This window comes from Homo sapiens, chromosome 5, assembly GCF_000001405.40.
Source record: "Homo sapiens chromosome 5, GRCh38.p14 Primary Assembly".
NCBI classification, from domain to species: domain Eukaryota; kingdom Metazoa; phylum Chordata; class Mammalia; order Primates; family Hominidae; genus Homo; species Homo sapiens.
Window position 1 is genome coordinate 89,580,726 of NC_000005.10, and position 16,446 is coordinate 89,597,171.

The 16,446-nt window shown below is 38.0% G+C and overlaps 1 long non-coding RNA gene across 1 annotated transcript in view; it reads left to right on the forward strand.

Moving 5' to 3' along the window:
• The first annotated feature begins 491 nt into the window (after window positions 1-491).
• Window positions 492-16,446, forward strand: part of LINC02161 (long intergenic non-protein coding RNA 2161) — a 213,063-nt gene continuing 197,108 nt past the window's right edge. Inside the window, exon 1 of the long non-coding RNA XR_948556.3 lies at window positions 492-651. This is a non-coding gene — a long non-coding RNA (long intergenic non-protein coding RNA 2161). The remainder of the gene's footprint in view (window positions 652-16,446) is intronic.

The following is a 16,446-nucleotide window of genomic DNA, read 5'->3' on the forward strand; positions in this document are numbered from 1 at the left end:
AAGTACCTAGGGAAGGCACATGGCCAAGGGAATGCAGTGTCCTCCTTTAGCTGCTATTGTTTTGGTTAGCAGGGAACACACACAAATTCATTCATTCATTCATTCATCCAAAAAATATCTATTTAGTACCCACTACTTGGCACAGATTATATTAGGACTTGGGAGTTCAGAGGTAATAGGGTCCTGGGGTTGGCCTACACAAAGTTCCCAGTCTAATTGAAAAAGATGATGAATTAGTGTTAGGTGCTAAGTAGATAAGAGATAAGTGGATAAGACTTCTGAGGGTAACAAATCATTTAGAGTGTAAAAATAATGGAGGGATTACAGTTTTATAGAGAGCATTAAGGACTGGCCTCAGGATGATAGGAAACAAAGAGAGAAAAACAAATGCAAATGGCCTGAGCAGGGAAGAACCTGATGCTAATGATGAACCACTTCAGGGTCAGTAGGGCTGATAAAGAAGTGAAACAGGAGAGAGGAAGAGGTGAGGCTGCAGAGTGAGGAGGAGCTAGATCGTAGGGTCTTCCTAAATTAATGTAAGCATTTTGGATTTTATTCTAAAATCCACAGCTACATTAATGCAGCTGCTCTTCAAGAGAATGGACATGAAGAGGACAAGAGCAGATATGAATGGGCCCACTGCGAACTAAGGTCAGAACACAAAACAGTTTTGTTTTCTTGGGTCAGTGTATCAGTTCAAGAACATTAAGAATCCAGGAGGCTTTCGAGGGCTAGCCTGGGGAAGTCACCATAATTTCTCATTGTGTTTTTATAATAACATACATTCCAAAAACCTAAACAACTAAGGAAAAAAGACTCTAGGAACACATTCTGTAAAGTTGGGGACTGCCACAAAAATTCTAAGCATATTTATAGTTAAGTTACTTGGTATCAACACTTTTCAATACTTTTACTGGTGAAGTTAATAGTTACTTTAGGTGTTTCTAGTTTTTAGAACCTATGATCTTCTATTATCCAAAGAATCAATTACGGATGGTTTTCAATCCCACTTTTAGCTTGGACTTCTCGATCACAAATTGTTTTTATTTATAATTTATTTGAAGCTTTATTTAGCTCTTCTGTTATTCCTTTCATTTATTCAAATGTAAATATGCTCAGCAGGGAGGTGACTATATTTGTCAAGCCACCTCTGGTCCTCCTAAAAAGAAATAAATAGCTCTTATGTGATGGAAAAATATATTGTATTAATTAATTAAATCCAATATTTTCCTCCTACAAAATGTCTTTTACTGGATTTTCTGCCTACTTTGTGGCTACATTCTTTGCTGCCTGGAAGGGGAACAGAAAGGTGTAAATACTGTTCACACCTCCTAACTGGTGTAATTAACAAATCTCTAGGTTACTTTGCAGCATGAAGTCTCCTATTTCACTGTAAGGGCTGGAGGAACAAGTTTAGATACTTAATGACCTGTCCACATACAGGAATAGCTCCGGCTTCAATCCACTAGAACTTACTTACAAAGCAATCATAGAGTATAATCTTCTACAAAGAAGCATGCCTAATAGCCATTTTCTAACTTGCTTGCAGCTATTTCAGCTGCAGCATTATTTCCAATTCAGGAAATGTTTTCCAATGCAAGGGAAAAAAAATAGACATATTTTTAACAACTCTGAAAAAAGAAACCTTGCTTTTAAACTTTGTTCTGTTCCTGATGTCAAAGCCGCTTTCCCGACTAATTAGGTTCCTAAGTTCTTGGTCAGAGCCCTGAGCTTTCCTGAAGCCTTTACTTTGACCTCATTTACAATCAGCCCAATCTATGAACATATTCCAAATATCAGCTAGGTTGATTGCTATCTTAATATCTTCTCTCCTAGACAAATGGTCTTTCTTTAAAATCATATGTAATCAGTAAAACATAAGAATAAGATTTAGGGCTTTGTGGGCTGTGAGCAAGTTTGAAGCCTGTCTCTTGTGTAACTTTAAGCTAGTTACTTAATCTCTCTGGGCTACAACTGTGAGAATAAAATATAGGATACTAAGTTAAATTTGAATTTTAAATAAACAATGAATATTTTTTAGTAAAGGTATATCCCATGTCATATTTGGTCACTCTCAATCTCAACCCTACTTTGGGCCTCAGTTTTCCTAAGTGTATGATGAATGTAATAATAGGGGAGTTGTGAAGATTAATCTGGTTGAAGCATTATGGTTATGGTGCATGGCAAATGGTGAGTCATCATTAATTCTTAGCTGCTGTGCTGCTGTTATTTTGTTCTCTAAGAAATAAAAGTGGTAACACAAGAATATCTAGATAGAGCTTGCCACGTGCTTGGCAAAAAGAGACCTAGACATTGCTGAACACATATGCTTTCTACCAACACATTCTTGTTAGATGCAACCATGTGCCAGGGCCTAAATGGTCTCATCAAGTCCTATGATCCCATGTGCTATAGCAGTTTTAAGATCTATTTTATACAGAAAGAAACTGAAACTCTGAAAAGTTTAGTGACTTGCTATCAGACAGCAAGGTAGTATCTGGCAAAGTTGGGTTTTGTTTTTGTGAGACTCCAACATGCAGGCTCTTTCCTCTATTCTGACTAGTGTCCTAAAATGAAGTAAAATTTGATATCACTGAAAAAGTATTTGAATTTAAGGAAAGAGTAATACACATTTTCATCTTAGTAACTATCAGTATGATAAAGATAACTGAGAATAATTATATAACACTTTAAAAAGCCACAAAGGACTAGCACCATAATTTGTGACTTTATCTGACAATGGACCTATGAATGTGTCATTTCTAGTTACCCTCTTCTCATAAATGAGGCTGAAATTCAGGACCTAGATGTCTCCCTTATCAGCATGGAGCTGTAATTGTTAAAGTCAGGACTAGTTTCCTGGGGCTGCTGTAATAAAATATGACAGACTGGGTGGCTTAAACAACAGATATGTATTTTCTCACAGTTCTGTAGGCTGAAAGTCCAAGATCAAGGTGACAGCAGGGCTAGTTTCTCCCATGGCCTCTCTCATTGGCTTGAAGATGGACACCTTCCTGCTGTGTCCTCACATGGTCTTTTCTTTGTGCACATGTATCCCTCCTGTCCCTTCCTTTTCTCTTAAGGACACCAGTCAGACTGAATTAGGACCCTACCATTATGACCTTATTTAACCTCAGTTATCTTTTTAAAAGCTCTGTCTCCAAATAAGGTCACATTGCAGTTTAGGGCTTCAATATTTGGATCTGGGAGAAACACACTTTCAGTTAATAATACCAAGCTTTCTCATTTCTGGTCTCACCCATGTTGTTAGTCATGATGCTTTTCTCAGAGTACTGTAAAAACAAGTTCTGTTGTTGGCATTTTTCATGGGAAAAGAAATACATAAAATGTGATGATGGATACATTTATAAAGATTAATAACCAATCTTTGAAGTATAAGAATTTTAAATATTCAATAATTTACACATTTGATAACTACACACTTGGGGTCTGGTCCACTATAATATCTTGGACTAAGAGAAAAATAATGAATCTGAAAATAAAATTGATTCTAGCTGATACAATAACTAATTTCACATGTTAAGAAGTATCAGGAAGTTAGAATCTATTCCATACAGGTTTGAGGAAGAAACAATGATGGGGCATGCACTATCTTACACTAATACCTTCAAATTTTAACATTCTAAAGTGTAGAAAGTTTAGGCAGCACTCCATAGGTCAAACCAGCCTCAACATGTACCTTTAAATGCCACGTTAGATTAATAGCTGGGTATGCTGAATGATTCAATGGATGATTCATAGGACGACTGCTTACTCCTGGAATCAGACGGATTCTATGACACAGTTTAATTTGTTTGCACTTAGCAGCAGTGTGGACAACGTAAGGGAGTCTATAATGGAAGCAGCTGGGGGAGAAATCTGTAGGAAAAATGTAAACAAATCTTTCAACACTTAGTGAATGTAGGTAGAGAGCATTTAATATGGACACCACTATAAATGATTTGAACTGCAATATTGGTTTTTAAAAACACAGTCTGTCCAGTGGTATTTTTATAGTTGGTGTCAACCACAGTTGTTTTTAGTTACAGCTTGCATAACATTTCAAGATAAATCAAAGTGAACTGTTCTGAATTTTAAAAAGTAGCACAGATTTGCTAATACTGTAATCATTGCTTTGACCAAAGGCTACTTTGCACTATGTCTACATAACACTTATTCGACAAATATTTATTAAGTGTTGATTACTCTCTAGATACCATCCAAGGCACTGGGAATATATCAATGAATAAAACACAGTCCCAGTATGCAATATACTTATAGTGTCTCCTGGGGAGAGAAGCACCTGAAACGCAGGGTAAATGCTAAATGACATAAGTGTTTGTTCTGGATTCTGGAGAAGGGGCAACATCTATGCTTGTCTTGACTAAGGGAAATTAAGATAAGTTTCCTAAAGAAGACAGTGTCCAAGCTCAGATCAAGGGCCAAGAGTTAGGCAAGGAGTTGGCAGGAAGAGCCTCCTGAGAAAAGGGCTAAGTATATATAATGTAGTGAAGATCAAACTAAGCTCAGTACAGGAAGCCATGTACCATGATTGAACCACAGAATGGGAATCAAGGGGTGTTGAAAAATGAGGTTGGAAAAGTTCTCAAGCGAGTGTGTGCACAATGAAGAGGAGCTTTTTTTCTGGAGCAAATACAGCTTTTAAAGAGCTTTAAGAATGGGAGTGATATTCAGCATTGTCTTTTGTTTTTAGAAAAATTACTCTAGTTGACTGTGAGCATATTGTCAACTAGACATAGTAAGAAGACATAGTAGGAAGACCAGGTAAGAGTTAACATAGTAATGTAGGTTTATAGCATCCTGAACAAAAGCATAATGTGGACCATTTTGACACGTTTTAAAGAGGTAATATTGATTGGATTGAATGCGGAAAGTGGAGGAGAGAAAAAACTGAATATGTTCCTGAGGATTCTGAATTAGGCAACTTGTAAATCAAGGTGTCATTAACTAAGAACCAGGAGCAGGCTGGAGGAAAGACAGTGGCATATGTTGAATACTATTTTATTTAATTTATTTAAACAATCCTTACTGAAGCCCTACTTGTGCTTGATATTGTAATCCATCAGGCTACTATAACAAAATACCAAAATCTGAGTAGTTTAAATAACATAAATGTATTTATCTCACAGTTCTGGAGGCTGGAAAGTCCAAGATCAAGGCACTGGCAAACTTAGTGTTTAGTGAGACCCACTTCCTGGTTCACAGATGGCCATCTTTTTGCTGTGTCCTCACAATGGCAGAACGGGTAGAAGAGCTTTCTATGGCTCCTTTCACAGAAGCACTAATCCCATTCATGAGGAATCCAATCTTATGACCTAATCAATCCCCGGTAGCCCAACCAAATATCATTACCTCGGGTGTTAGCTTTCAACATATAAATTGGGGTAAGATACAAACATTTACTCCATAAGATATCAACCTTGGGCCCCCAACATTTATGTCTTCTCAAATGTAAATATATTCATTTCATCCCAATAACCCCATAAGTCTTAATTAATTCCAGCATCAACTTAAAGGTCTAAAGTTCAAAGTCTTATGTAATTATCATCTAAATCAAATGGGTGAAACTCAAGATATGAGTCATTTTGAGGCAAATTTTTCTCCAGCTATGAACCTGTGAAATCAAACAAGTTACATGTTTCCAAAATATAATGGCATGACAGGCATATGATAGATATTCCCATACCAAAAGAGAAATATAAAAAGAAGAAAGGGGCAACAGGTTCCAAGTAACCCCAAACTCCAACAGAGCAATCAATGTTAAATCTAAAGGCTTATGAATAATCTTAAACTCCATGTTCTAGCCTCCAGGCCCACTGGGACAGAAGTCCTGTCTTCCAGGCACATTGGGGCAGGGATCCCACCTCCTGAACCCACTGGGGTGGCAGTCCAATCCCCTCAGCTTTGCTGGGCAAGAGTTAGGCTCACAAAGCTGTGGGTGGGTCTGTCCCCATGGCTTTTGGAGGCACCACCCCAATGGCTCCACTGGGAATTTCCATAGTGAGGGCTTTTTGAGGTTGGCAGAAGCCTCACTAGGGCTCTCTGCAGTGATCCTGCACCCATGGCCATTAGCTTCCTGATTCCCAACTCCATAGGCATCCTATGCCTGTGGCTTTCCTGGTATCCTTTAAAATCTAAGTGGAGGTAGCCATTCATCATGGCTCTGATGGCTGTCATGCACTCCAGACCAGGACCCTCTGGAGCCACACTTGGGGTACTTTAGGACCACGGCACTAGAGTGTGGGAAGTGGAGCCTGCACTGTGAGGCAACACCAGCACCAGCAGTGAGTCCTGAGGTCCCACAGGCTCTAGTGCCCTCTCTTGAAACTGCCTTGTCCCTGGGACCCTGGGACCCTTGCTCTCTGAGCCTGTGATGGAAGTGGCAACCCTGATGACACCTGAATCACCTTGGGAGAGGCGAGAGGGGGTCATTTTTCCATTGCGGTGAACAATAATAGCTCCTAGCTCTATACAAATAGCTGACCAGTGTCTTTATTTTCTTAATGAATAGCACCTGGTTTCTGTTGAGATGGCCCATCCTTACTAATCTTATCACACAGTCACTTGACCACACCCTTAGCATTGTCTCCCGAGCAGTTTCTCATTCTTTTCAGTATTGGCAGGCTAATAATTTTCCAATTCTTTAAGTCCTTCTTCCCTTTTGATTTACAATTCCACCTTTAAATCATTTCTCTCTTCCCAAATATTGCTATAATCAGTCAAGAGAAATCAGACTTTTCTTTCTGCACTTTGCTTAGATATTTCCTCAGCCAAATATCCAATTTTAGCACTCTTAAAGTTTTGTTATAAAATTCTTCCCCACTTTATAACAAGAATGGCCTTTCCTGCATGTTCAAGAACATGTTCCTCATTTCTGTCTATGATTTCATCATGATACCATACCAACAGTCTATTCAGGATTACTTAGGTATCCACTTAGAGAACTCAGGCTTTCTCTATATCTCTTCTGTTTTCTTCCTGAGGCCTCACCAGAATTGCCTTCAACAGTCTGCTCATGGCCACGTAAGCTTTTTCTAGCATGCACCTCAAAATCTTTTAGCCTCAACCCACTACCAAGTCCTAACATGGCTTCCACATGTTTAGGTACTTTTTATACCAGCACCTCACTCTTGGTACCCATTTTCTGTCTTTTTCAGTTTGGGCTGTTATAATATCATAGACTGGGAGGCTTATAAGCAACAACAATTTATTTAACAGTTCTGGAGGCTGGGCAGTGCAAAATCAAAGCGTAGGCAGATTTAATATCTGGTGAGGACTCTCTTCCTAATTCTCATATGGCTGTCTTTTTGCATGTCTTCACATGGCAGAAGAGGAAAGTGAGCTCTCCGGGGCCTCCTTTATAGAAGCAGTAGTCCTATTTAGAACTCCACCCTCATGACCTTATCACCTCCCAAAGGCTTAACTCCCAAATATCTGCACACTGGCAGTTAAGTTTCAACATATAAATTCTGTGGGAACACAAACATTCAGTCCATAGCACTTGGCATTGTGATAAACACTGGGCATAGTGTTAAACAATATAGATAAACCCCTGTAGCTCACATTCAATTGATTTCCATAACTAGGTGGAATGATCTAGAGGCAAGTGGCTCACTACAGAAGTTTGGTAATTAACAGTTCATGGGTGATATTTGACACCACAGGAGAGGGTGAGATCATCCACAGAAAATGTTGAACAAAAGAAAAAAGATGTTTAAAAATTTTGAGAAATACCACATATCAATGATAAGAACGATTTAGTGAAAATTGTGAAGTGGCAAGTAATGTAAGAGGAAGACCAGAAGAGAACATTTGCTGCATGGCAGACTAATCATTATCTGGTTGTTTGGATCACTGTAGAAAGTCAATCAAGGTTACTATGATGCAAAACCATATTGTTTCTAGGTGAACTGGTACCTATCCCCTTTGATATGAACCACCCAAATAACTCTCCCTTCAATACTGGGTATCAGGGACAGAGGTATAGAGAAAGAGTGACTTGAATGAATCCTTCCTCTCATAATAGTAGAAAGATGAACGTCTCCATTGTTTTCCAAAAGGAAACTGAATTCTAGTTCACCTATGTGATTATATAACTAAATAGATAACTGAATAATTGCAAAAAGAAGCCCACCCAACTGATATTTACTGAATACTTTATATTTTAGATTTTTCTCTTTTATTTCTCCCTCAAAAGTTTCTGAATAGAAATTCTTTTACCCTGTATCATAATGAGTGTAATGATGAAAATTGTATTAAGTGCTATATGCCAGACAAAATATTGCCCTACATGCATTTACATAATTTAAATATCATGAAAATATTTTGAGAGTATAATTTAGGAAAACTGAGATTTGGGGAAGTTGAGTAACTTGTCCAAGGTCACACAGCAATTATAGTAGTGGAAGTGAGATTTGAAACAAGACATAGCAGACTCTAAACTTGTGTTCTAAGTAGGTCTGTTCTATGACAACGCCTTCATGAAGCCAAAAGGGCTTTTGATTTGCCTTTCAGAGGAAGCTCCATATTATGTTCAGAATCAATTTTAATCTTGTTATGAAACCAAAGAATATATTGTGACATTTCATTCATTAAAATTACATAATACCCTCATCTTGATATACAGATAACCTCCACAAAAGTGAAAACAAATTCACACAGTATTTTTCTCCTATGAATTTTTTAAGGAGCTAATTTATTCATGAACAAAAATGAATAAAACCACCTCCTCACCAGTAAGGTAATGTTGTTTACGTGAATCACTTTTTGCTTGATGGAGCTAGATAGTGTCCCTTGGGATTATGTTTTGTTTCATATGCAAGTGTCAATCATGAAGGAAACATTATTTGTTAAAAAAAAAATGGTTACCAGCATCTGAGTTCTATTTATGGGTAATACCAACCGATATGGTTTGGCTCTGTGTCCCCACCCAAATCTCATCTTGAATTGTACTCCCATAATTCCCACATGTTGTGGAAGGGACCTGGTGGGAGATAATTTGAATCATGGGGCAGTTTCCTCCATACTGTTCTCATGGTAGTGAATAAGTCTCATGAGATCTGATGGTTTTATCTGCGGTTTTCACTTTTGCATCTTCCTCAATTTTCTCTTGCCACCATCATGTAAGAAGTGCCTTTTGCCTCCTGCCATGATTCTGAGGCCTCCCCAGCCATATAGAAGTGTACGTCCAATTAAATCTCTTTTTCTTCTTAGTCTCAGATATGTCTTTATCAGCAGTATGAAAACAGACTAATACAGTAAATTGGTACCAATAGAGTGGGATGTTGCTGAAAAGTTACCCGAAAATGTGCAAGCAACTTTGGAACTGAGTAACAGGCAGAGGTTGGAACAGGTTGGAGGGCTCAGAAGAAGACAGGAAAATGTGGGAAAGTTTGGAACCTCCTAGAGATCTGTTGAATGTCTTTGAAAAAAATGCTGATAGTGATATGAACAATAAGGTCCAGGCTGAGAAGGTCTCAGAAAGAGATGAGGAACTTGTTTGGAACTGGAGAAAAGGTGACTCTTGTTATGTTTGGTTTTTTTTTTTGTTTGTTTGTTTGTTTTTTGAGACGGAGTCTCGCTCTGTCACCCAGGCTGGAGTGCAGTGGCGCTGTCTCCGCTCACTGCAAGCTCTGCCTCCCAGGTTCATGCCATTCTCCTGCCTCAGCCTCCTGAGTAGCTGGGACTACAGACGCCCGCCACCGCGCCCGGCTAATTTTTTGTATTTTTAGTAGAGACGGGGTTTCACCACTTTAGGCAGGATGGTCTCGATCTCCTGACCTCGTGATCTGCCCGCCTCAGCCTCCCAATGTGCTGGGATTACAGGCATGAGCCACCGTGCCTGGCTGACTCTTGTTATGTTTTAGCAAAGAGACTGGTGGCATTTTGCCCCTTCCCTAGAGATTTGTGGAACTTTGAACTTGAGAGAGATGATTTAGTCCTTTAAGTATCTGGCAGAAGAAATTTCTAAGCAGCAAAGCACTCAAGAGGTGACTTGGGTGCTGTTAAAAGCATTCTGTTTTAAAAGGGAAAAAGAACATAAAAGGAAAATTTGCAGCCTGACGATACAGTAGAAAAGAAAATCCCATTTTTTGAAGAGAAATTCAAGCTGGCTGCAGAAATTTGCATAAGTAACAAATTACCAAATGTTAATCCCTAAGACAATGGGAAAAATGTCTCCAGGGCATGTCATAGGTCTTCATGGCAGCCCTTCCCATCACAAAGACAGAAGCCTAGGAGGAATAAATGGTTTTGTGGACCAGGCCCAGGGACTCCATGCTGTGTGCAGCCTAGGACTTTATGTCCTGTGCTCCAGCTGCTCCAGCCATTGCTAAAAGGGGTCAAGGTACAGCTAGGCCCATGGTTTCAGAGGATGCAAGCCCCAAACCTTGGCAGCTTCCATGTGATGTTGAGCCTACATGTGTGCAGAAGCCAAGAATTGAGGTTTGGGAACCCCCACCTAGATTTCAGAAGATGTATGGAAATGCCTGGATGTCAAGGCAAATGATTGCTGCAGGGGTGGGGCCCTCATAGAGAACCTCTGCTAGGGTGGTGCAGAAGGCAAGTGTGGGGTCAGAGCCCCCAAACAGAGTCCCTACTGGGGCATCACCTAGTGGATCTTGAGAAGAAGGCCATGTCCTCCAGACCCCAGAATGGTAGATCCAACAGCTTTGACTGTGCATCTGGAAAAGCTGCAGACACTCAATGCCAGCCCATGAAAGCAGCCAAGATGGGGGGCTACACTGCACAAAGCCACAGGGCTGCCCAAGACTATGGGAACCTACCTCTTGCATCAGCATGACCTGGATGTGAGACCTAGAGTCAAAGGAGATCATTTTGGAGCTTTAATTTGACTGCCCAGCTGGATTCTGGACTTGCATAGGCCCTGTAACCCCTCTGTTTTGGCCAATTTCTCCCATTTGGAATGGCTGTATTTGCCCAATACCTGTACCCTCATTGTATCCAGGAAGTAACTAGCTTGTTTTTGATTTTATACGGTCATAAGTGGAAGGGACTTGCCTTGTCTCAGTTGAGACTTTGGATTGTGGTCTTTTGGGTTAATGCTGAAATGAGTTAAGACTTCAGGGGACTGTTGGGAAGGCATGATTGATTTTTAAATATGAAGACATGAGATTCGGAGCAGGCGGGGTGGAATGATATGGTTTGGTTCCATGTCCTCACCCAAATCTCATCTTGAATTGTACTCTCATAATTCCCACGTTTTGTGGAAGGGACCCAGTGGGAGATAATTTGAATCATGTGGGTGGTTTCTCCCATACTGTTCTCATGGTAGTGAATAAGTCTTATGAGATCTGAAGGTTTCATCACATGTTTCTGCTTTTGCATCTTCCTCATTTTTTCTTGCCACCACCATGTAAGAAATGCCTTTCACCTCCCACCATGATTCTGAGGCCTCCCCAGCCATGTGGAACTGTAAGTCCAATTAACCCTTTTTTTCTTCCCAGTCTCAGATATGTCTTTGTCAGTAGCATGAAAATGGACTAATACACCAAAACGTTCTTCTTTTTTTTTAACTTTTATTTTAAGTTTAGAGGTACAAGTGCAGGTTTGTTACATAGGTAAACTTGTGTCATGGGGGTTAGTTGCAAAGATTATTTCACCACCGATCACTATTAAGCCTAATATCCATCAGTTATTTTTCCTCATCCTCTCCCTCCTTCCGTCTTCCACCCTCAGAAAGGCCTACTTTCTTTGCTTCCCTTAAATCATTTAGATTACAGTTCTAATCACCTACCTGCCTTATTGGAAAGCTACTAGCATAATTATCCTATTTCCCTCTGCAGAGCAAGGAGCCCCAGTAAAGTTGAGGTGAAGCCATACTGGAGTAAGGTAGGCTCCTAATCCAATATGATTGGTGTCTTTATGAGAAGATTATTATGTGAAGATACAGGGGAAATCCCATGTGAAAAGGTAATGACTGGAGATATCCAGCTGCAAACCAAGGAATGACAAAGATCGCCAGAAAACTACTATAAGTGTCTTGGCTATCTTAGTCCTTTCATGTTTCCATAACAAAATATCTTAGACTGGGTAACTTTTAAACAATATAACTTTATTTATCACACTTCTGGAGACTGGGAAGTCTAAACCTAATGCCTTAGCAGATTTGATTTCTGATGAGGGATTGCTTTCTGGTTGATAGATGCTGCCTTCATACTGTGTCCGCACATGGTGGAAGGAGCTAGCTAGCTCTCTGGAGTCCCTTTTATAAGGCCACTAATTCTTTTTATGAGGATTGTGCCCTCATGACCTAATCTCCTCCCAAAGTGCCCACTTTCTAATACTATCAGACTGGGGATTAGGTTTCAACGTATGAATTTTGGGGGAACACAAATGTTCAGATCATAACAAGAAACTAAGAAAAAGGAATGAAACAAATTCTTTCCTAGATTGTTCAGGGGAAGCATGGTTCTAATGACACCTTGATTTTGGACTGTTAGCTGCCAGAACTGTGAGATAATACATTTTTGTTGTTTTAATCAACCCAGTTTGTGGCACTTTCCTATGACAGCTCCAGTAAATGAATATATATGTGTTTTTTACTGTGGTTGCCATCACAGTCAGCCTTGCATCATGAACTACTCTTAATAGAGTATTTATAAATTTATAATTTATAAATACTCTATTTATAAATTATAAATTTATAATTTTATAAATACTCTATTTATAAATTTGTAAACTTAATCGAGTAATGAAAAATTCCAAGAGATGGAAGGGGCACTTTGGATCGTGTAGTCCAATCTCCCATCCCGAAACTCTTTCTTTCAGAATCATTCTTGATACATGATTATGTGGTCTCTGCTTAAATTACTGATTACCCAATATACCAGAATAGGCACAATAAAAGATACAAAATATATAAACCATTTTCTATCTTCATAGAACTTATAATTTACCCAGAGAAAATATTTGCAACTAAATACTTATTTGAAGATCTAAATAGATAGAAATAGGATTATTTATTATGCATGTGTCAGAAAACTCAACTCTCACTAGAGTAAGCTAAAGTAAAAGTAATCAACTTACATAATAGAGTAGTCCATGGATGGGTCTAAATTTAAAAGCAGCTTGACAGAGAACTCAAAATATAACACTACAATGAATATCTGGTCTCTCCTTTCTCAAGGTTGGCTCTAACCATAGGCTTAGTCTCCTCATAATGTAAAAAAATATAGATAAAGCAATGTTAGGTATTTTAGCTGCAACCAAATGAGAAAGAGACTATAAGTTTCTCAGCAAAATATCTGAGGTTAACAAATAATGGGTTTACATGCGTTAAATGCTCACTTTTAAAATAATCAGTGGTCTAGAGTAGCAGAAAAATTCACCTCTGGAGCATAAGGAGGAATAATGCTCCTAAACTGAGATGAGGAAAGGGATTAACCTTGGAAAGGAAAGATGAAGGCTCTTAATGTAATAAATGGCATATTGCTGGGGAGGCAGCCAGCCAATATCTACTAGATAAGAACAAATTCTACCGTATTATGTTGGTACATATATAGAAGACAAACTTCATTCCTCCTGAGCTATTTGAGAAAGTTTCATGAAACAAAACAAAACGAAACAAAACATCTTTTCTAGGTCTGAAATAATAGAAAACATAGAAAGAAAATACATAGCTGTGTACAATGAAATATCATAAATCAACACAAAGACTCCTAAAAGAGATCACAGTCCTAGGGTGTGGTGAGTAGGAATTGATATAAAATAAGAATGGAAAGAAATGTATGAGTTGAATTGTAAAGGGCCAGAAATGCCATCAGAAGCATCAGAAGCTACCTTTACACTAAGGAGCCAAACTGACAGATGAGAAGTTGCTAAGTAATCTGTCTTAAAAGAGTTACTTCAAGTGATAGATTAAAGAGGAGACAGGAAATTACGGTAATTATCTAAAGTAAAATATGAAGGCCTAAATTAGGACTGAGGAGGTGAAAATAGAAAATATACCACCAATTTGGTAATCTACAGGATTTGGTGGTAGGTGAGAGAGAATGGTGAGAAAGTACCTCTGAAATTTCTTCAGTAATCACTGGGAGAAGGTAATGCCTTTAACCAAGGCAGGAGCTAATTTAAAGGGTGAGAAAAGGAGAGAGGTAATGATTTTAATTTTGAATTTATTGATTTTATGTTATTTAAATATACTAATATAAGGATATTTTAAAACTACACTGAGAAAAAAATATATATTTATATATGTGGAATATATATATATATATATAAATTTTTATATATATGAAACTATCAAGGGGTCAAGAGATTAAAATGTTGATCTTTTGCCGGTACTCAACTTGCATTAAAACAAATCTGAAAGGCAAACTTTGTATGAAACCTTAATTCTTCCTTTGCCACAAACCATAAAAATTCCTCACTAAAGTTATTTCACTGAAAATTTCCCCCAACTCAGTGTGTGTTCTACATAATTGTCTTTTGTGTCATTCTTTGTTTTTAGACCCCCCAGGCTCCTTGGGGTAAGGACTTTGTCATTAATTTAGCACAGCTGAATATATTACATGGTGCCATGTGTATTTATAGAACTTTGCTAAGTAATGATGATTCAGTTTTGGTAATCAGCACTTGCGATGATCATATGGTTATGCAGATCAACACTTACTATGCAAAAATCATTTCCTATGGGGCAGATGTGCTGGTCTCCCTCCTAGTAAATTTTTAGATCAGTAAATTTTTTGCAATATAAAAGTCAATTTAGGATTATGCCTTTGATTGTCTTGTTACCCAAGGGAACCAAGAATACAGAACCTTTCTATGGTGCTAAGTTACTGAAAGTCAATAACACTGGTGGCATAAGCAGCAACTAATTCTAATAATCAAATGACACAAAATGCCCTTCTTGATCTAAGGCCATGGTGATAGTGATTCACTTTACTAAGCCAAAAATCTATTGTTCAAACACATTAAAATATTTGGAATACAGTCATTCAAATGTAATTCCTACAGTGAGGCATACTGAGATTTGGTTGGAAATTGGAAATAATAATTTTTACTATGTATTTTGGGAGATAACAAATGCTTCCAGATTTCAGACTTAACTTTTCTTCATAATCCCTTTAATTTATTTTAAAATTTCAAAAACAGTTGTATTGCTGTTTAAAAACTGGTAGCAAGTGCTTCATGTGTTAATTTAGTAATACTCAATTAAATAGTGGATTCTATCACTCTAATACCGATCCAAGTTAGTAAGAAAGAAGTCAGGAAGAGAGTAGCGAAGGAAGGAAGAAAGCAAAGAAGAGAGCAAGGAATTTGGAGAATTGAAATTTTAATTTCTAAAATATCAGATTTCAACCATGAAAAAAGAAATTATTTTAGAAGCAAGCCATGATCTTCAGCGTTTTCATGCTTAAATCTTCAAAATGCTCTCACGTGAAATTTAGCTTTAACGTTATACGTGGCTTCTTAGAAATTCTTAACCATTTCCCTTTATTTATCATAATCATCACCACTAGCTGATTGAAATCTTTGTGATATCTACTGATTTGAAGTTGATAGACAACTGTAACCCTATTTTTAAAATCTAGTAATTAAGTGACATTATATCACTCATCACACATAAAACCCTCAATAACAACATGAATATATTCAAGTATCCAATTATATTCTGGGGTGCACATACAAATAAACAGTACCACAATAGAAATTATTAACAGAAATGATGACAGTTCCACAATACTAGCTGCTGCAAACACCAAACATTATTAAATCTGTTGTTTTATGCTCTTCTTCCTCCCTCCTCACTGTGGGAAATGGTGGGTGGGGAGGAAGGCTGTAAACAAATTTTTGCTTGTGTATGTGTGTATTTAAAACTTCCTTCTTACTGTTCATCTTTGGCACTAACTAGAATAAACCTGTAAAACAATGTCTTTAATACTAGAGTGGTTTTTGTCTTTCCTTTGTTGTTATTGATGTTGTTTTGTAAAGATACATGTAAAGAAACACTATTTTTATGTTTTTGGAGAGCAGGATTAGAAAATGTGGGTCTATTCAATCTTGATGGGGATAAGTGACTAAAAAGCAATGTGAAAATACAGAATACCTGGGTCCACGTGTCAATGTTATATAGGTTCTAAATTAGATATACTTTGAAATTGAGGCTTGCTGGCTTCCAATGTCTTTTTAAACTTCCCCAAAATTGATCAGATTGGAGATTATAAAAGAAAGGAGACATTGGAGATATAAAAACAAAACTAGACAACTTGTGGGTGGTCCCATAGAGTACAGCAAAATAGCAGAGCTAGACCACAAAACACCAGAAAAGCCAGACTGTGATAGTAAAGCAATGAGAAAGAAAAAAATCTGGCAACTTTCTGATCTCCCCTCCTCCTGAGTATTTCATTATGTTTATGAGACTACTTCTGCAGTATGGGTAAAGCGGGTGTAGAATAGTTTCTC